Here is a 22,637-nt window from a genome sequence, read left to right on the forward strand (position 1 = left end):
TGGGCAGCAGATGGATACTGGTCTGTGGCCTATTAGGAGCTGGGCCTCAACAGCAGGAGGTGAGCCACAGGCCAGCAAGCATTATCACCTGAGCTCTGCCTCCTGTCAGATCAGCCACGACATTAGACTGTCAAAAGAGAGCAAACCCTACTATGAACTATGCGTACGAGGAATCTAGGTTGTGTGCTCCTTATGAGAATCTAGTGCCTGATGATCTGATGTGGAACAGTTTCATTCCAAAACCATCCTCCTTGCACCATCCATGGAAAAATTGTTTTCCACAAAACTAGTTTCTGGTAACAAAATGTTGGGGACTGCTATAATAGAGAATAGTATAGTATAAACATAACTTTTATATGTACAAGCAAACAAAAAAAATTGTGTGACTCACTTTATTATGATACTTACTTTGTTGTGGTGGTCTAGGACCAAACCTGCAATATCTCCAAGGTATGCCTGTGCTACGAGACTGTTCAGTGATAGTGAAAGGTTAGATTACAAGTGATCTTTTGACCATGTCAGGATTCGGGCTTTGTTTCTGTTTTTGTTTTTTTGAGCGAGTGAGTGAGTGGGAACTTCTCTGGAGTTGTGAGCACAGGACTGTCATGATATACTTTATGTTCTAAAGTGATGACGCTGGCTGTCATGTGGAAAATAAGAATAAGAGGTAGAGACAGGAAACACATATACAGTGAAAGGATACAAAGCAAACTCAAGGAGGAAAAATGACATATGAGGTGCAATCTGGAGAAAACCAGTTCATAGTTAAAAACCTATTTCAATAATCCAGTCAATGTGTCCCTAAAAGAAAACACTCCCAGTGAGGTGAAATTCGAACAACACATCTAGTTGTTCATTTGGCATGAAAGGAAAAATATTTCATAGTACTTATTCATGTGCATTGGCTAATCGTTTGGTTAATTTGTGAGGAACTTGGAGAAACCCAGTTATAAGATTTGTGTCAAGGAGATCTGGAGGAGAAGCGTTTGTTTTTGACCTCTCAGAAAGAGGACAGAGTATGAAGATATTTGTGTCCTATTTGAATTGTTATCAAAGAGCACTGGCTGTGTCTTTTCCATGGCTTCAACCTGACAGCTCAGGCTTTTATACAGCCTCCTCCCAACACCCCCTCCAGAGCTTGGTTTAGAGGCTTCTTTCAGTGACTTCTGCTTGCTTCTCCTTCCTACATGGTTGGTTTCAGCTATTCTAACATTATAATGATAGTTGTTACAATAGTCTGTTTATTGAATCACCTGGCATGTTTGTTTGTTGCTTGTTTGTTTTTAAATCTCTGTCTGCTCACTAATGTAATTGGCTACCTTTTTATACTATGAGTTAATTGAGCATTAATGTATTCTTTAGGATAGAGCAAGTATTTGTTTATTGTAAAAAATGTTTAGTTGTTTTTGCTTGCTTGTTCTTTTGTTGGTTGTTGTTTATCATTTTTTGTTGTGTTGAGGAAATTGTATTTAAAATTTTATTTGGGTTTTCCAAGTTATGAAATAAGAAGGTCTTGGGCAAAATGATCTGTTTTCTCTGAACCAAATGTATATGTGGCTTTACGTTTCTATGTGGAAATGACATAAGAAATGAGCATGGGTCAGTCTGCCTTTACTATACAATTTGCTGGGAAGGTTCCATCAACTGTATAACACTGTTCGAAAACTCAGTCCCCATAAAGATTTGCTCTATTTCATTTACCAAAGAATGTCTACCTTGAGTAATGAAAACAGTGCCATAGCCACAGAGGTACACAACAATACGTAAACTGAAACCTTGCCATAGCTATGGGGTTTCTTAAGAGCTCTATTGAGATATGGAGGAAACTCTGAATTCAGCTTTCATGACACATTTTTATCATTTGTAAAATTGAAATAATAATACCTCCCTGTCTCTCTTGGGTGCTATAAAATGTTATTCTTTGAGAATCATGAATGAAAGTGACTATGCAAGAGCAAATTGTGATTGCTATTCTTTACGTTAATGCTAACAATGAAAAATAACATTTCTGTACTTTTCTTTATTATAGATGGTGATAGGTAACTTGTAATTTTTAAACACCATAGAAGACTACAAATTTAAGAAAATACAAGTTAAAAAAACTTTATAAAGTAGAGTATAAAATATACAAGGGAGGGAATTTATTTCATTCACTACTGTATCATGAACATACAAAATCATGTCTGATTTTAAGTATACACTTGTGGAATAAACATGTGTAGAAAGAATTTTGTTAACACATGTACGTTCACAGTTATATTAAAAAACTAACCACAAATAATATGAATCTGAATTCTGATCTACATTAAAATCTATATGATACAGACATACTTGTTTTACAAAGTAAATAATTAATTATGAGATAAAATTGCTTCATAATCAATATCATTTATATGAAAGAAGTCTAAAAGAAGTAGCTTCTTTTGTTGTTGTTTAGGAAACTAAAAATATTTGGATAACATAACCATATTAACTTTTAAATATGAATGTTTTAAAATTGTAATATTATGAATAAGAGCCACAGTAAATACTATTTTAATTTCACTTCTATTTCTCTATATTTGTGTGATGCTTATTAATCAGTCCTATGTAATTGTGCTAATATGTTTCTTGAATTTTAATGTGTCTACATAGATCATTCCTGTGTTAGTATATTATTTTCCTGCATTTACACAGGCATTTAGTTTCATGAAACATTGCCAAATTGGCATATCTTTTTACTTTCTCCTTCAAAAACCTTCTATCTCTCGGGTAGTGATAGAAATCTGAAATTCAGAACAGGTATTCTTACCATGAAATTGTATTAATAAACTTAATTAACAGAAGCAACATTATTTCAGTGACTTGCATTTATGAAACTGGCAAAGCTAAATGCTGTCATTTTGTCAAGTACCTAATCTTATGAGAGTCTATAAAATGTGAAGTTAACTGTAGTGGGTTATATGAGAAATTTTTTTAGACTTCTTTAAAACAAAAACAAATAAACAAGAACAAAAGAAAAATAAACAACAAAAGCTTTCGTCACAATTAATATCTCTCAGAATCACTACTGATTTTTTTATTGTTGTTGTTTTGACATTCGTGGGTTCTATACTGCCTTAGTTTCTTGGTTTTGATTCTCTCTCTCTGAATCCAGGACTTTGGTCAGTGAACACTTCCTCATCTCATCTGGGGATGGAGAGTTTACATCATTCAGCATATCTTCTTCTCGCTTTTTAGGTAAATATCTCATTTTTCCCCTTTTTAGTGGGAGGCAATCACTTCCATTCCTCAGAAGGTGTGCTGTTGAGGACTGAATATTGGTCTGTCTATCCTCCCCCTCCAAATTTATATGTTGATATCCTGATCCCCAACCATTGGGAGGAAATTAGGTCATGAGGTTGGAGCCTGTGTTAGTTCATTTGAATACTGTTATAAAGAATGACCTAAGACTTGGTAATATATGAAGAAAGGAGGTTTAAATAACTCACAGTTCTACAGGCTTAACAGGAAGCATGGCTTGGAGGTTTCAGGAAACTTACAATCATGGCTGAAGGCAAAGGGGAAGCAAGGTACATCTTACATTGCAGCAAAAGAGAGAGAGAGCAAGGGGCCAAGTGCCACATTTTTAAACCATCAGATCTTGTGAGAACTCTATCTTGAGACAGCACTAGGGAGATGGTACTAAACCATGAGAAACCACCACCATGATCCAATCACCTCCCCCCAGGCCCCACCTTTAACACATGGGGATTACAACTTGGCATAAGATTTGGATGGGAACAGAAAGCCAAACCATATTATTCTGCCCCTGGCCCCTCCAAAATCTCATGTCCTTCTCACATTTCAAAACAGAATCATGCCTTCCCAACAGTTCCCTAAAGCCTTAACTTATTCCAGCATTAACCCAAAAATCCAAGTCCAAAGTCCCATCTGAGACAAGGCAAGTCCTTTCTGCCTATGAGATTGTAAAATCAAAAACAAGTTAGTTACTTCCAAGATACAATGGGGGGATAAACACCGGGTAAATGCTCCCATTTAATATGGGAGGGATTGGCCAAAACACAGGGGCTGCAGGTTCCTGGGCTACAATTCCAAAACCCAGCAAGGCAGTCATTAAATTTTAGGGCTCCAAAATAATTTCCTTTGACTCCATGCCTCACATCCAGTCCACACTGATCCAAGGAGTGGGCTTCCAAGGATTTGGACAGCCCCGCGTCTGTGACTCTGCAGGGTACAGCCCCCACAGCTGTTTTCATGGGCTGGCATTGAGTGCCTATGGCTTTTCCAGTAAGATGGTGCAAGCTGTCACTGGAGCTACCATTCTGGTGTCTGAAGGATTGTGGCCCTCTTCTCACAGCTCCACTAGGCTGTGCCCTAGTGGGGACTCTGTGGGGACTCCAACCCCACATTTTCCCTCAGCATTGTCCTAGTAGAGGTACTCCATGAGGGCTCCGCCCCTATGGCAGACTTCTGCCTGGACATTCATCCATTTCCATAGATCTTCTGAAATCTTGAAAGAGGTTCCCAAACTCTTGCCTTCCGCGCACCCACAGGCCCAACACTACATGAAAGCTGGCAAGGATTGAGGCTTGCATCCTCTGAGGCAATGTCCTATGTTATACTTTGGTGCCTTTTAGCCACAGCTGGAGCTGGAGGGGCTGGGACACAAGGTGTCATGTTCTGGGGCTGCACAGAGAAGCAGGGCCCTGGGCCTGGCCCACAAAACCATTATTTCCTCCTAGGACTCTGGGCCTGTGATAGGAGGGGCTGCTTCAAAGATCTCTGAAGTGCCCTGGAGACATTTTCTCCATTTTCTTGGCTATTAACATTTGGCTTCACATTACTTATGCAAATTTCTCCAGCTGGCTTGAATTTCTTCCCACAAAATAGGTTTTTCTTTTCTACCACATGGTCAGAGTGCAAATTTTCCAAATGTTTAGGCTCTGCTTGCCTTTTAAACGTATGTTTCAATTTCAGATCATTTCTTTTTGAATGCATGTGACTGTATGCTGTTAGAAGCAGCCAGACTCCATCTTGAACACTTTGCTGCTTAGAAATTTCTCCCACCAGATACCCTAAGTCATGTCTCTCAAGTTCAAAATTCCACAGATCTCTAGAGCAGAGGCACAATGCTGCCAGTCTTTTTGCTAAAGAATAGCAAGATTTGCCCCTGGCCACAATAAGTTCCTCTTCTCCATCTGAGACCATCTCAGCTTGAACTTCATTGTTCATATCACTATTAGCATTTTGGTCAAAACTACTCAACAAGTCCTTAGGAAGTTCCAAACTTTCCCTCATCCTCCTGTCTTCTTCTGAGCCCTCCAAACTGTCCCAGCCACTGCCCTGTTACCCAGTTCCAAAATTGCTTCCACATTTTCAGGTATCTGTATAACAGTGCCCCACTCTTCTAGTACCAATTTTCTGTAGTAGTCCATTCTCACACTGCTATAAAGAACTACCTGAGACTGGGTAATTTATGAAGAAAAGACGTTTAATTGACCACAGTTCTGCAGGCTTGACAGGAATCATGACTGAGAGGCCTCAGGAAATTTACAATCATGGTGGAAAGCAAAGGGGAAGTAAGGCATATCTTAAAAGATATCAGGAGAGAGAAAGAGCAAGGGGGGAGGTGCCACACTTTTTAACCATCAGATCTCGCGAGAACTCTATCACAAGACAGCAGTAGGGGGGTGGCACTAAATCATTAGAGACCACCCCTGTGATCCAATCACCTCCCACCAGACCCCACCTTCAGCATGTGGGGATTATAATTTGACATGAGAGTTGCTTGGGCACACAGAGCCAAACCCTATCAGAGCCCTTATGAATGGGATTAGTGAACTTATAAAAGAACCAGAGAGTTGCCTCACTTTCTTTCTCCCATACGAGGATATAACAAGAAGTTAGCAGTTGCAGCCTAGAGAAGGACCCTCACCGGAGTCTTGACCATGCTGAAACCATAATCTCGGACTTCCAGTCTCCAGAAATGTAAGGAATAAATCTGTTGTTTATAAGTTACCAAGTCTATGATACTTTATTGTAGCAGCCCAAACTGACTATAAAAGTTCCATTCAACCAGCACGTTGCTTTTTCCTTATGGCCTGCTACAATGCATGACTGCTTCACCAGTTTTCTATTTAATGTTTATCAACAAATTATACCCTCTGTAAATTTCCATGTTCATGTTTGGTCATCTCCCAATTTGTAAATATGGTATATTTCAAATATTCATTCATAAATTCAGTTAATACCCAAAATGCATTATTTCTGGTAACAATATTATAATTATGTATATAGAATCAAGCCAATGCCAAAACTTTTGAACAATATTATTTGGCTATATGGAGCCAAACCATTATAACATGTTTACTCTGGGAAATACATTTATCTTTCTTTTTTCTTTATTAATATACTTTAAGTTCTAGGGTACATGTGCACAACGTGCAGGTTTGTTACATATGTATACATTAGGAGATTTATCTTTCTAAAATGTTAACATATTTCTAAAACTATAGTGACTTGGATGTAAGCAATGTATAAGTAGTAAGAAAATACATACATTTAAAATATATATATATTATCATTAGCAGCAGCTCCTCCCAAACCTGATGCTACTCCATCCAGTTTGTTTTTAACAAAACAATTTCAAATTTCTTATCATACTGGGAGTCCCCAAGAACTGTTTCACTTGGGCCTTAAGAAATAATCCTAAAAAGTTTTATGTAGTATCTACTCTAGACTATCTGCTATTTTTCTCCTTTTCTCACTATACATCTAATTTTTGTTGTCAGCCTTACCAACAGTCACCATCAACAGCATTGCTTCTTCAGTTAGAGTTACTTATTTTCAAGGTTTAGCTTATTTCTGTCATCACTGGGTCCTCCACCAATGTCAGTGTGGTCAACCTTGCTGGCAATGCTTTCCTATCAATTGTTCACACACTATTACTAAATATTAATAACACTGATACCTTATAAGCTCAAGTTTCCAAGGAGAAGATAAAGTACTAGCATTTTTGCTTTTTTTAACTAATTTAGTAAAACCTTCACAGCTATATGAAAGAGAGCTAAGGTAATAGAGGGCTTTGCAAGTTAGACATGAAAAGAAAGCAAAATTCTAGGGTGCTGAAGGGAAGTTAAAAATAAACTCCATGAGAAAATCTCCCAAATGTTTTCCCTTCTTATGCTTTCTTCTCCTTCATAAACAGTATTACCTTTCTAGACGTTGGATTTCTTAAAATCTAAAATATAACATACATAATAAGTGGGCATAGGAACATAAGCAAAAATTTCTTTAAAAATACCTGAGTAGCCATTATTTAGGCCAAGACATACAATATTTTTTGAATTTTTTTGTGAGGGGCTTCTTTTAGCTCAAAATTTAGATTTTAAATTTATCTATTTTGATGTGTATGGCTCCAGGTCTTTGTTTTCACTGCTATGCTAAGTGATTGTACAAATATCCTATAAATTATCATACCATTTGTAGGTCCTAAGGATAGTTTTGTACAAAACAGTTTTTTACAAAACTGATACAGTTTTGTAAATATATCTTAATATACATGTGCAAGAGTTTTTCTGGGGGATTAACTAGGAGTAGGATTGCTAATTATAGAATATATGCATACATGTTCATCTCTACTAGGTCACACTAAACTGATTTACAAGGTAGCTATAATAGTTACCATTCCCACCAGCCAATAGCCATGTCAAAGATGATATTAGTTGACCTTGCCCATCTGCTGAGTACAAAATTGCATATCATTGTGGTTTCAATTTTCATTTCCTTGACTATTCATTAATTTAACATCTTTTTATGAATTTTGTGGGCTAGTTGTGTTGCTTTTTCAGTGAAATTTATGAAATTGTTTTGTCATTTCATTTATTATGATAATGTGAAGCATTTATTTTAGATTGTATTTTAGTCATTATAGTTAGAAGATCTGTATACTTTGGCTGTCAGCTTCCAAGCCAAAAAATTATCAAATAATATCCTTCTGTTCCAGTTTCTGTCACTCTGAGAGCCAACTGATACTCATAAGACTGTTGCAATGTGATGTGTGGAATACTACAAAAGTATTCTTTAAAACTTCAAAAGAGTCTTCCTTTTATTGATAGAGTCAAAGAATTGATCAATAATGAACTACTGATCATAAGAATTATTCTTTAGCTATTTTGGATACATGCTCTGTTAATTTTATGCATTGTAAGCTCTTCTTTTGGATTGTTGACAAGTGTTCACATTTTGTAAGTGTCTTTTGGTGAACATAAATTCCACCTGAAATTGTTTTTTGTGTATTATGTGAGATTGGAATCCCATTATTGCAGGACCATTTATTATCCATGAATCTATAATACTCCTTGATTTTGGAATGTTAAGCAAACATTCTGGTTATCTTAGACTTTCAATTAAGCTCAGTCATAGATAATAATTAAGTATTGGGGCTATAAACTATGCCAACTGGAGCAGTGTATTTCCCTTTGGCTGCAAGTAAAAACATGTTCTAAGATTTATTCTTCAATGTAATGTTATGAAGAATTTTTTGTCTCCTCCATCACTGAAGCTCTTAAGTTGATAAACATCACTAGATTTGGCCAGATTCAGGCTCTGATAGAACAAATGCAGAAATGAGACACTGGTTACCTGAATTGTGATTTTGGCTGTATGTTATTTCATTTTGCATTTTTGAAAAAGTCAGAAAAACTCTTTTAGGTATCTAAGCATTATCTATAACTATGTCAAAATAAAAGTATCTACCCATTTCCATTCATTAGTTTAAACGCATATCTAAGTAATGTTGTTCATTGATTATGATAATTTAAAGCATTGATTTTAGATTGTATTTTAGTCATTGTAGTGACATCTTTATACTTTGAATGTCAGTTTCAAAGCCAAAAATGTATCAAATAATATTTTAATGTTCTAGTTACTGTCACTCTGAGAGCCAACTGATACTCCTAAGAATGTTGCATTGTTATGTATGAAATACTACAAAACTATTCTTTAGAACTTCGAAATAGTCTTCTTTTTATTGATAGAATCAAAGAATAAGAGGACACCAAAAAAACTATTCGTTATTTTATTTCATAACTATCAATCATGCCATTTTCAATTTGCCACACATTCACTGCCTAATAGAAGAGAATCATGGTAAACAAACCTGTTCATAGTTTTAGTCAGCAGTGACACACTTGCCCACACACTTAGTCCACATTTCTTGAGTTTTCAGCCTCTCTAGAAGCATAATTCAGAAACCTAAAATTACTAAAACATTTTACAAAGAAAAAGAGGAGCAAAGGCAACTTTTCTAGCAATAACAGGTTCTTTAAATCAAAGCATTTTCTAGACATATAGTGGAATAATAATTCATAAGGTTGCCAGTTACCATGTTCATTTTATTTGATATAATTTATTAATACCCAAAGCTAGCCAGCACACTGCTATTAAGCAGAGCACAGGGAATGTTAAATAACAGAAAGTAATAGAAATTTTATCACGTAGAAAAATAATCTGATAAATTACTATAAATAAATACAAAATAGAAAAAGATAAGAAAAAACTGCATTTGCAATTTAAAGCTGTCGGGCAGGTGTGTAATGTCACATGCTTGCAGAATCCTATTTATAAATGCACATTTTAATACCAACTCATTGGCCCTATTCATTAAGAGGAAAAGTGCTGATTAGAAACAATTTTCATTTTTTCCATGCACCCCAAGAGTTCTTTCTAAAAAAAGTCTTTCTAATTAGTTTAGACTCATTTTTAATGAATTCATAAATTTTTATGAATTCATAAATATTGTTTCTGAGATTGTTGCTTAAGCAGTATATACACATGTGTATACATTTACATAATGTATAAATTATAAAGGTGTGTGTGCATGTGTGTGTGTGAGAGGGAGAGAGAGAGAGGAAGAGAGAGAGACCATCGAATAATTTTATTTAAAGAGAAAATCATTAGTGAACAATAGCTATAATTAATTTGTATTGTATCCTTGAGGGTTAAATATAACCAGTGTATGATTCTAAAAGCCATAAAATTCAACACTGCACTAAAAATTAATAAGGATGCTTCTCTTTATGCATTTTCTATGCTTTTCTGTGAAAGGAAACTTTCTCTTATATTTTCTTTTCAAAGAGCATATTACCATTTGGAATTCTGGCTTATCCTAAGGCAGATCCCATATAAGTAGGTATTTAATTCTGTAATTGAAGCTTTTAAAGTAAGAGTTGGATATGATTTATTTATGTTTCAGAATTATACATTTGTAGTAATGCCAACAATCAGTGGAAGTTCAGGACATCATGAGCCAACCATAGGAGTTGGGGAAGTTAGTTAGGATGCCATGGTTAGAAGCTGAAAAAGGGATGATGAGCCTATAAACAAGAAAGGTAGCTGTGGGAATGAGAGGTAGAAGACAGATTCCAGAGCTATTCAGGAGACGGAATTAACACGATGTGCTGACTGATTGAATGTGAGAGAGGAGATAAATGAATAAGTTGAGGATCATAATGAGGTTTCCTAGCTTGGGTGACTCACTGAATGGTGATTTCATTAACTGAAAGGAAAGCTGAAGAGGAAAGAGCAATTTTGGAGAGGAAAATAAGGACTTTGGCCTGGATGTATTGAAACTAAAGTCTATGTAAAATATACCTTGTAACCATTTTACAATACATGTTATATTACAACACAGGTTATATGATTGGGGGTTATTATAAATACAGATTTTTTAAATTCACTGGAATAAAAGATCACTCTTATGAAGGGATTAACTTAGCCCTCTAAAATCATATAGAATGAGCAGAGAAAAGTTCCAAAAACTGAACCCTGCATTACACAAATATTTAAGAGGTAGTTAGTGAAAGGTATACCAGGAAAGAAGGAAAAAAGAGTGGCCAGATAGGAGAAAGCAGAATTAAGGGACTAGATAATTGTACTATTGAGTTTCATGAGTGAAATGATTTCCCCAAAAATTGCTGCCAGAAATGTGGAGAAGATGTCACAGTTAAAAAAAACCACTGTGGACTTTTTGAGCATTTTTTGAAGGAATATTTAAGGTAGACACCAAATTGCAATGGGTAGGGGAATTAAACTGAATGGTGAAGAGCTCATGAGCTCATGGATTTGTCTCCAGTTGTTATCTTGTGTATTAGATCTGTTTAACTATATCATGGGAGTACTTTATTACAGTTCATCTTGAGTTGGCTCCAAGTTGGCACTGCTGTTAGGCAGTGCTTTTTTCATAACTATGGGCCCCATTTTAAACAAATGCTTAAAAGTGATTAATCTCCTGGCTTAAAGACATTTAAGACTGAAATTAAAACCATTTCTGTCACTGTTCCTGGAAATTTGTAAACTTTAATCTCTAAATCTTCTCCTCTATATGAATGGTTTGGTTTTTATATACCATTTTGATATTTATGGTGGAAGCTATTATTCACTGAAAAGGAAGAATTTTACTTCACTCAGATTTCAATGTATTTAATAGTATCTGATAGAAGCCTTAAAAGTACATAAAAAGACAGTGGTACACCTCTTTCAGAAGATAATATTTCAGAATGTCAGATTTCCTACTTTACTACAAATGAGTATATAATAAATAGAACTTTAAGGCACTCTGGTAAGATTATTAGGCAAATCTGGTGTGCACTCCTTTGAGATCATACAATATGTATGAATTACAATTTTGTTGTTGCTACAAAACAAAGATGAAATCTTAAAAGCAACCAGAATATCTTTAAAGATTTAACCTTAGATGTCAGTGTAATAGAATATCTTTCCATTTGCTAAAACATTGCAAGATACCTTGGCAAACTACATTCACCACTTAAAGTCCTGGTGAGGATTCTGCTTTAAAACACTGTATTTACTACTAGATACCCTTTGCTCAATTTTAAAATTTCCATCTCTTTCATATACCATTTTCCCACACATGTTCAGTACAATTCAGATATAACCATGCATATTATGTAGCTTTCCACCAGGAAAGAGATAGTACATTCAAATTTAAATACATTGAAAGAGCTTAGTAAAAGAACCACACACATAGTTGTAGTGAGGAATAGGAAACCCACAAAACACAGTGAAATCTCAGGGGCTAGAATGGCTCCCATAACAACTCTAGGTATTTGGAGGGAGAGAGATAACAGTGACCCGGAAACTAGAGACAGAGGGCCGTGAGGCAAATCTGCTTGCAGAAGATGAGGTAGGTCAGACTACTGCAGCAGAAGTAGTGGCATTTGTAGTAATGCCAAAGATCAGTGGAAGTTCAGGACATCATGAGCCAACCATAGGAGTAGAGAGAAGAAATGTTGATTTAACTATCTCCTTTCCTTCCTTTTATTCCCTGTCAATGGTCCTCAATGATGGAACCCAGAAGACAAGAGAGTCTGTTGGTATAGTCAGTACAACATAGAGCCCACCACTGCATAATCATCACTCAAAACACTGTTACATTACATAACTTAACACGTTATGTTATATAAATTCATGCTATATAGAGCATTCTGGAGGGACCTACATCTGGATAGACAGTAACATAGAATAGATCTCGATAGTGTTAAGTATATATATATATATACACACATATACATACATATATATATGCATATAAAATGAAAGGGCATTCAACATAGTCTTCAGGGAAATAAAAATTTTAAAGAATATAATATTTTAACATACACCATTAGAATGGCTTAAAAAAAAACCCAAAAACAGTGAAGGAAAAATAAAAAACTGATATGACCAGATACTGGTGAAGAAATCAAGCAGTCTAAACTGTCATATATTACTTTTCAGAGTGCCAATTGATATATGACTGTTATATTCTACCCAAACTGGTACAACCTAAGAACAAACAATATATAGAGAAATGTATTATTTTGTGTAGAAATGGTTTGTACAGGATACTGATAACAATACTATTTACGAAAGTCAAAAGCAGAAATAACCCAAATATCCACCAACAGTAGGATCAGTGAGTAAACTGTGGCATATATATATGATGAAATTAAAACAAACATCCAATAATATGGATAAAATCACAATGCTTAGTGAAAAAAGTCAAACATGAAAAAAAGTATTTTTTAATTTATATGACATTCATTTATATAACATAGCATATGTTAAGTTATATAAAATTAAAAGTGGTGATAATCTTCCATATCTTGATTTGAGTGGTGACTATGCAGGTATATTCACTTTGCAAATATTCACCAAGCTGAATGATTATAATGTGTTCACTTTTGTGTATGTATTTTATAATAAATGTTTAAAAGAGGATTTTCTTAAAAGAAAATGGTAAGGAAAGTATGGATGAAAGGTCTAATAAAGATACCTAGCACACTACAGCAGTGAGAGATCTTCTCTAACTTCTGGCTTTGCCTAGCGCTACGTGGAAATAATGCTCACCAGTATGGTAAGCAACTTCTGATTTGGACATCAGAGGTCATTATGCAGAAGATAAAAATGTAAGGATTTCATATCCTTAGAATTGGGAAACCTTCCATTTGGCTGTAATTACATCACAAACCATCTGTTTTATTAATATCTTTGTGCCTCATTTTCCTCATTTGTAAACTGATGAAATTGAGAGAAATAATTTCTAAGATTTTCTGCCAATTCAATGTCTTTCTTGCCAATTATAATTTAGAAAGATGATAGGTAGATAGATACAGACATAGACAGGTACATACATGCATGCACAGCTAGCAAGTCAGATAGTAGACAGAGACATAGATACACAGATGCATTTATACACACATACATAGATACCTATATACATATCTACATGTCTAGATACATAGATGACAGATACATAGACACTTATACACATGACAATATACATAGCTAGACGGATGGATAGATAGATAAATAGATAGAGAGACCGATCAAACAGTAATGTGAAACAAGGTATTTATGCTCTTTCATGTGTTTATGTATTTGTACATGTACTCAAGACACATCAATATGAAATTATAATCAGTAAAAATCCAGCAGCTTCAGTTCTAAAAAAGCAAGCTAACAAGATTAGGAATAAGTAAAAAACAAAAGCAAATAGAATAAAGACAAAAATAAGGTTCTAAATCAACCAATATTTTAAATTAAGTGTCAGAAGAAGCTGGACACATGAATGTGTATGACAAAGAGGAGTATATCTGAATGTTACATTTTTGTAGTTTGATGGTCTAATTTTATCCCATCTACAAGACGGATCTTATATCTAAAGGAAAGTAATCAATAATTAAACAGAGAAGTACCTGCTTGCCAGGCAGGTCTCATATTTTAAAATACAAATAAGATTTTCCTCCCAGAAGAAATATATTTTCATGACAGGTAGGTAAATAAATTCTGTTGTTTTGTTTTTTTTTAATACTGCATCTGACAATAATTAAGCCTCTGTTAAGCCTGTTGTTTATTTTTAAGTTCAAATTTACTTAACAGTCATTAAAATCTCAGCATTTGCATTTGCCTGTAGTGAGATTCTTCTGTGGGCTTCACAGTGGTTCACAGTAGGCAGTCAAGCCTAATAATAATGGCATGCTAATACTAGAAGAATCTCCAAGTAGTTGGAAAAATTGAGACATGAAATCATGTTTTAAAAGTAACCTTTATTTTAAATGTATTGCTTTTTATCATTTTAGATTCATAAACAAGTTGATTTTTATTAGTTTTATGTTCTTTTGGGATGCTCCATTTTTCTTTTGAACTAGTTGGAATCAAACTCATCCAGAGCTTAAAAGCAAGTGAAGAGAGTCAAATTTGAGGCAAAATAGAATGTACAGTGTAAGGATCTGGGCGGTGGAATCCAATAGACATGTTTTTGATCTTATGTAAATGATAAAATAACATTTTTATTTAAAAAAAATATGTTTACTAGGCCAGGCGCAATGGCTCACGCCTGTAATCCAGAACTTTGGGTGGCTGAGGCAAGTGGATCACTTGAGGCCAGGAGTTGGAGACCAGTCTGGCCAACATGGTGAAACCCCATCTCTACTAAAAATGCAGAAATTAGCAGAGTGTGGTGGCACGCACCTGTAATCTCAGCTACTTGGAGGCCGAATTGCTTGCATCCAAGAGGAGGAGGCAGAGACTGCAGTGAGCCAAGATCGTGCCACTCCAGCCTGAGCGACAGAGTGAGGCCCTGTCTCAAAATAAAAACAAAACCAAAGCTAAAAATTTGTTGACTTATTATCAAATTATTTACACAGTAATCTAAACAGAATGGGTCCCCCATAAATGAAATTAAGAGGAGTTAAACAATTTTTTTGGACTGTAAAATATTAGATTGTATATTACTTGTATTAAGTAACTGGCAGTAAGCACTTTTCGAGCATGTTGTATTAAATGGGAATGCAGCAAATGTATTGAGCCAGTACCTTTAGGGTGTACTCATGATATTGCCTCTGACAATAATTAAACCCAAACACTGAACTAGTTGAGATATAAAGCAAAGTCATTGTCATATGGAGACCAAATAGAATTGCTATTAAATAATATATATTGGGCTGAATCAAGTTCCTAATACCAAGGCACAGAATCAGAAAGCAGCATTAGATATAAAGAGGCTTCCTGAACTCCAGCTCTCCCCTCCTCAGGAGGAGCAACGTCAAACTCTGACTTCCTGCCTGCGGTTTGCTCACCATGACGAGAGAGGAAGCAGTATGTAGATATGTCTTTCTGGCAGTGCGCAGCGGCTGACGCCTATAATGTCAGCACTTTGGGATCCTGAGAGAGGCGGATCACAAGGTCAAAATATTGAGACCATCCTGGCCAACATGGTGAAACCCCGTCTCTACTAAAAATACAAAAATTAGCTCAGCCTGGTGGCGCATGCCTGTAGTCCCAGCTACTCGGGAGGCTGAGGCGGGAGAATCACTTGAGCCCAGGATGCGGAGGCTGCAGTGAGCTGAGATTGCACCACTTCATTCCAGCCTGGGTGACAGAGCGAGACTTCGTCTCAAAAAAAAAAAAAAAAAAAAAAAGGAAAGATTAAAATGTCTTTCCAACTGAAAAAAAAGTCAAGTAAGAAGTGCTCATAATATTTTTAAAAATATAAAGCTTGAGCATTATAAACTGTGAAAAAGATTTGACAAACAAGAAGTGTGAAATATGATCTGTGATACAAAAAAGCCTCATCACAAGAGATCCTGTTTCTCCAGATGAGGAATGCTTCAGCTCTTGTATGAAAAGCATAGAATCTAAACCAAGACAGAGAGGAGACCTGTCACTTACCAGTAAGTGTCATGTTTTCAACATTCTCTTAGGGAAGAAGGAATTGGAATACAATTGGAATTAAGTGGTTCATTTTATAAGATCCTCCTAAATCAACAGATACATATATAGCTTTTTTTTTCTGATGTGCAGATTTCTATATTAGACAGATATTCATCATTATTGTGTTGTTGTTTTCAAATTAAGGCTTTCCTTTACAAAGTGTCTTTACAGACAGATACTTACGCTAATAGGAATCAAGTGACCACTTCAGTCGACATCAAGAGCCATAATTGGTCAAACTACGCATCCAGCATCCTTACAGCATAAGACTTTTAGAAATGCATTTCTTTAGAAATCAAAGAAACCTTTACACATATAATAGTTAAAATGTTTCAATAGTCTCGATTAATACAAATGATTAACACCACACCCCCATTTTTAACAGTAAATGAGATTTCAGTGTCTTAGAAGTTTGTATATACATGCTTATCATTTGAATTTTTCCTACTCAATGGAAAACAAAGTAGTTTTCCTTTGTGTAGAATGGGAAAAGATTAAAAATTTCAAAAGTATTGACTGCCATCTCCTAGAAAAGTAGAATATTGGTGTGTTGCTATAAATACTACCACAGTTTGCAGAAAGGGTGTATTTAAAATAAAGGGGTGAGAAGTTAAAATTGTGCTATTTATCCATTGCATTTACTATAGATTGAAAGGGATTTGTAAGTCAAAAGAAGCAAAATGAAAGCAAGAAAAGGTCAAAAAAAGTAACAAAGATAGAATGCAGAACAGGTAAATGTGCCCCTAGGGAAACACACAACAGGAAAGGCATAAAGATAATGGCACATATCTCAGTCTAGATATATAGAATGCAGTGCCAGGTTTGGTCTTTAAGGTGTGCGTTAATTCGAATGGAGAATTTTCCATTGTGAATATGCATTTTAGTGCCTCTACTCTAGGTAAATGTTTGTTTGATTGCTGAGCCTAATAGTGGTAGTATCTAAATGAGCCTTATAATAATGGTAGTATCTAAATGGTGTTTGCTCGGCGCAATGCTCATATTACATACAAGTGAACAAGCTTCTGCTAGAGCTCCTATGTCACATCATAGGAAATAGTTTTCATCAAAGCTGGTTTAAGCGTAACAAAGTGAAGAAAGTAAATTCAACAAGAAGAAAAATGTTTTATGTGAAAACTGGGACTTGGCAAATGGGCAAAGTAAAAGGTTTTAGAGTTATAAAATTCATAATTTTCTACTTGCCCTATTTAAAGTGAATGCAATGCTTCAACTAAGATCTGTTACATGATACTTTATATTAATAGTCTGTTTCCCCAACTCATGTCTATTTGCTCTTCCCAGATATATTTGTGTCATACAAAGGTAGAGAGCAATGCTATAATTACCATCACCAGATAGCTTATTTATTAATTCAGGCAAAGCCCTTTTGCTGCTCAAAATCACTAGTATTTTTCCTGGTATTTCTCTGCTACTAGGGACTCAATGCTTCCCCCGATCTATTCATGCAAATTCCATTCATGTTAAATTGAAGTGCTAACAAGTGTGCTTTTTTTGGGTATGTTGTAAACATAGTGTGCTAAACTTATCATATATAAATCTCTCCAGTATATTCATGCTATTCTAAGCATTGATAATAATAAATCTTATAATGTTTCTGAAGTGATACCCTCAATTGAATGTTGATGAAAACAAAATTTAATAAACTTACATCCACGCGGTGCTTTGTATTTTCAAAGTTGTTTGATTTTCAAAGCCTCTGCACAGCACAAAATGTTGTAGGTCAGCATTCAAGTATAATTATGTCCATCTAATGGAAGGAAAACTGAGCACTTAGAAAAGTTAAGTGAAAAGTTTGACAACGCGCTTTCATGATTCTGTAGGTAAATTGACACCAATACCTGCCTGTGTTATCTATTGAGGAAATATAATTGAAAGTCAAATCTCTCAACCCAGAAATCTACTCCACAAAGGTAGTAGACAAAGAAAACGCTTTTGCTATTGAGAATGCATTAAAACAGAATGTGATGTGCATCACAGGCAGTCCACTAAGTGATTGCAAAGACAGAAACAAATTTCACCCTCTTAAAGATCCAAGAAGATACAACCAATTACAGACATGTTTTCCAGATAAACAATAACTAGTCTTCAAGTAAGAGGACTTGACAACACCATTTGTCACACATTATTCATACTAACTTTACCTGGTAATTGGGGTGACCATCTCTGTTAGCTACTTGGCTTTATCGAGAAGACAAACTTCTCTTCATGACAGGATGTAGTTCTATAATTTGGAGCAAGATCACCACCAAAGTCAGCCTCCAACCCTCACACAGAAACTGGAAGAAAGGATTAGTATCTTCCTTGATGTTTGCATTTCTGAGATGTTTCATGCACTCGAGAAAGATATTACTAGGTCACAAAGCTGAAAAAAAAGTCAATATAGTCTTTGAAAATATTTGTATACATTTCAAATAAATTGGAAAATATTTATAATTAAAAGCAATCTAAGAAGATAATGTTGTAAAAGAAAAAGTAGAGGAGGGAAACCTCTTCTCCCATTTTCAACAGGAAGAATTAGGCCTTTGATTTTATATTTGCCTTTGTCTTACACACAGAGCAAACTTCCAACTAGGAAGAACCCAGCCGCATTATATTGCTGCTGCTCTTTGAGTTCCCCTGGCTGCTTCCTACCAATAAGACCAAGCAAGATAGTAAAGCAGATCCATTCTTTGGAGAAAGGTGGGATTTCCGTTGGCTGACTTTAGCTCAAGGTTTTGCCAAATCTTCCTTAGACAGCATGGCTGAGTAGGAGCTTCCACTTAAACTTTTCCTCTCTCTCTTTAAGTGTGGTAAAATTTATATCACTGAAGACTTTTTCAGCCTTAGCTGGCACCCTCTTTATTTACTTTCAGGCATGTAAACAATTAAAATCATTTCATGTTTAATACCATCTTGGCATTTGTTTCTTGGAAGACCTGGATTAATAGCACACTGTGGAAACACAAAATAGTAAAATTGCTGTGGAGTGGTATCATTCAAATTACTAATGCATATACCCTTTGGCTCAGCAATTCCACCTCTGGGAGCTTATCATCTAGACATGCCTGCACACGTCAAAAATGATGTGTGGACAAGGTTGCACATCACCAGAGCATTGTTTAGAGTATAACAATGGAAAAAACACAAGGGGATGAATTCAATTAGATACTGTAAATTCACACAATGGAATGATATGTATTTATAAAAATGATTAAGGTAGCTTTCACTGTGCCAATATGGAGCAATCTCCAGAGCATATTGTCCAGGTTGAGGTATAGTGACCATTCACAGGCACACTATAGCCTTGAACTCCTGGGCTCAAGCTATCCTCCTGCCCCAGTCCCCCAGCAATTGGGACTATAGGTGCACACCATGTCCAGGGTATATTTTTAAGAGATGAAAGCAAGGAGTGGAAGAGTATAAATAGAATATCTAATTTTATGTATCTAAAGGGAGGTAATAAGTATATTTTCATATTGGTTTCATGAAACACTGGAAGACTCTCTTATGCATTAGGAAAGAAATCATTTTAGGGAATAGAAGGGGAGAAATTTGGTAGAGAAGGAAATGGGCACAATCAAGTTTTCTAAATATATATTTTTTACTGAGATTTGACTCATGTAAATATACTATCAAATAAAAAATAAAATTCAATTTAATCAAAATATATGAGTCTTATTGAAAGCATGTGGGCACCTAAGCATTAAATAGTAGAAATAATTAGTGCTTTATTTGACTTTTGAAATGTTGTCCTTTATCTTTGCCTTTTTTCTGTACACTAACTTGTGATCAATGATCTATTTCTTCATTTAATAAACAGTTCTCAAATATCTACTACTTATCAGACACTGTGCTAGACCCTGGGTGAATAGAACAACAAAGAGCCTATCCTCATGGAGTTATAACCAGAGAGAAAGACAGAAATTTCAAACTGAGACTAATTCATTTGTAGAGAAATACTAGAGAAAATGAAGTCTACAAGTGGGATTTCACCCAGCTCTGGGGTTCAGTCAGAAAGCGAATCAGTTGCTATAGCAGTAGTAATTTAAATTATTGCTCTGGCCTTGGATATTTCAGAATTCTGAGAGTGGGCATTATATTAAATTGTATACAAATTATGAGAATTTCTGTATTAGAAATGTTGACATGGAATGAGGCAGAACGTCTTTGAAAACCATGTTAATCAGATTCAAGCTAGGCATTATCTAAAATGTTTATTTCTTAAGCTAAAATCTAAAGAGGGTAGCAGTTCCTTTTTGCACACAGATGTAATAAAAAATGCATTATCAGAACTTGCATAAATTAACTTTCAAATAAATATATACATTCTCATAGATATGTAGCATTTTGGCAATCAATGTAGTTGAACTGACAATCTGTATAAATTAAATATATAAATTTAATTATATTTTATAATGTTTTACATTAAAATATATTAAATCTTGAAATATAAAGATTTTCTTTTTCATTTAGGGCATTTTTTATATTCTTTTTTTAGTCACATGAAAACAGTCATTTTTAAAGTGAATTTGTATTATTTAAGCCATATTTATTAAAAAATGAGGTACAAAGTACAAAGAATACTAATAAACTTCTACATGTAAACTACTTGGTTTACGAGAAAGATCGGTCTCATGGCTTTTAACATCTTTCTTCTCATCCTCCTCCTCTTATGTCTTCATTTTCCCCTTCATGGGTAACATCTATTTTAAATTTTGGATGTATTTTTTATTTGCTTTAGAAAAATGTTATTATTCATTTTAAGTTTTTAAACAACTAATCATTTATTTCCCATGCTTTAATATTTATTAAAACAAAATAAATTGTATATATTTACCTGAAATTTGCTTTTTTAGCTCCACTTAAGGTTCTTAAACTTTAGGTTCTCTCCTCAATGTTATTACAAGTAGCTGAGGTCTTCATCTATATTGCTATAGAGTATTATATCGTATGGTTGTAACACAATTTATTTGTTTATTCTACTGCTGATGGACATTTAAGATTTTTCTTGGATTTTTTTGCTATTGCAAAAAGTACTCTGATATGGTTTGGATTTGTGCCTCTGCCCAAATCTTATGTCAAATTGGAATCCCCAGGGTTGGAGGTGGGACCTGGTGGGAGATGACTGGATAATGGGAGAGGATTTCCCCCTTTGTGCTGTTCTCATGATAGTGAATGAGCTCTCACGAGATCTGGTTGTTTAAAAATGTGTAGCACCTTCCCCCCTCCTTGTTCCTGCCCCAGCCATATAAAACGTGTTTGCCTCTCGTTTCTTCACCTTCCACCATGATTGTGTTTCCTGAGGCCCCCCAAAAAGCTGAGCAGATGCCAGCATCATGCTTTCTGTACAGCGTGTGGAACTGTGAGCCAATGAAACCTCTTTATAAATTACCCATACTGAGATATTTCTTTTTATAACAGTGTAAGAATGGGCTGATACATACTTCTATGAAAATACGTATGTCTTGGAATACATATACATGAGGTTCTTCCAGATAAAGATTGAAGATTAGAATTTCTAGTCCTTGTGCCTATATGTTATTAACTTTTAAAGGTAATATCAGTAATTTTCCAAAGTGTTTGTACTTATTTGGAGTCCCTCCTGTGAGCAATATATGAAAGATCTGTCATTTCACATCACCACTATTTGATATTTGAAGGCTATGAATTTTTATAACAATGTGGTTACATGTAAAATGGTGCCACATTATGATTTTAATTTGTATTTTCATATTGCTATTACATTTGAGTGTAATTTTTAGTTTTTTGATAAAAATTCAAATTTCCCCTTCTGTTAACTGCAGTTTGAGTCTTTGTGTTTTATAATTTTTTCTTTCCTTTAGTAGTTGTGAAGCTTTTGTTATACATGCTGAATAATATTCACTTGTCATTTTTATGCACTGAAAATAATTTCTCACAATTTGAGATTCTTGTTTTTGTTTTTTATGGTCCTTGATAAACAATAACTTTTAATTTATATACTCATATAGTAGAGGTTTTCTTTTTTGTTTGTTTTGTGTCAATGTTTTTTTTTTTTTTTTTGCTGTCTTTAAATTATAAATATATCCCCATGAAATGACTTCTAAAAGTTGTATACTTTCATTTTTTAGATTTTTCTTTATCCCAAACTGGAATTGACTTAGTGTATAATGTTGGGTGTACAATTCCTTTTAGTTGTGTTTTCTTCCTCATCCTTTCAATTCCAAATTGATCAAATAATTTAGTAATAATTAGGTTGGTTTTGGTATAATCTCATCTGGGAGAGGCAGGCCAAAGTTTAAGGAGTCTGACTACTGGATTTAACAGATTTATTTCCTTTAGACCCAGACTTCTGATAGCTGAATGCTATTTTTTTCTCTTTTGTTTTTCATGCTCTCTAGCCT

General features: G+C 34.9%; 1 long non-coding RNA gene across 1 annotated transcript in view; it reads right to left on the bottom strand.

The window, feature by feature from the left end:
• LINC00971 (long intergenic non-protein coding RNA 971) overlaps positions 1-22,637 on the bottom strand; it is a 231,171-nt gene that overhangs the window by 206,395 nt on the left and 2,139 nt on the right. The window contains exons 4-8 of the long non-coding RNA NR_033860.1: positions 18,907-19,206; positions 18,417-18,637; positions 17,924-18,022; positions 15,016-15,124; positions 9,143-9,216 (exon numbers count right to left, since the gene is read on the bottom strand). This is a non-coding gene — a long non-coding RNA (long intergenic non-protein coding RNA 971). The remainder of the gene's footprint in view (positions 1-9,142; positions 9,217-15,015; positions 15,125-17,923; positions 18,023-18,416; positions 18,638-18,906; positions 19,207-22,637) is intronic.

The sequence above is a fragment of the Homo sapiens genome, chromosome 3 (assembly GCF_000001405.40).
Source record: "Homo sapiens chromosome 3, GRCh38.p14 Primary Assembly".
NCBI lineage: Eukaryota > Metazoa > Chordata > Mammalia > Primates > Hominidae > Homo > Homo sapiens.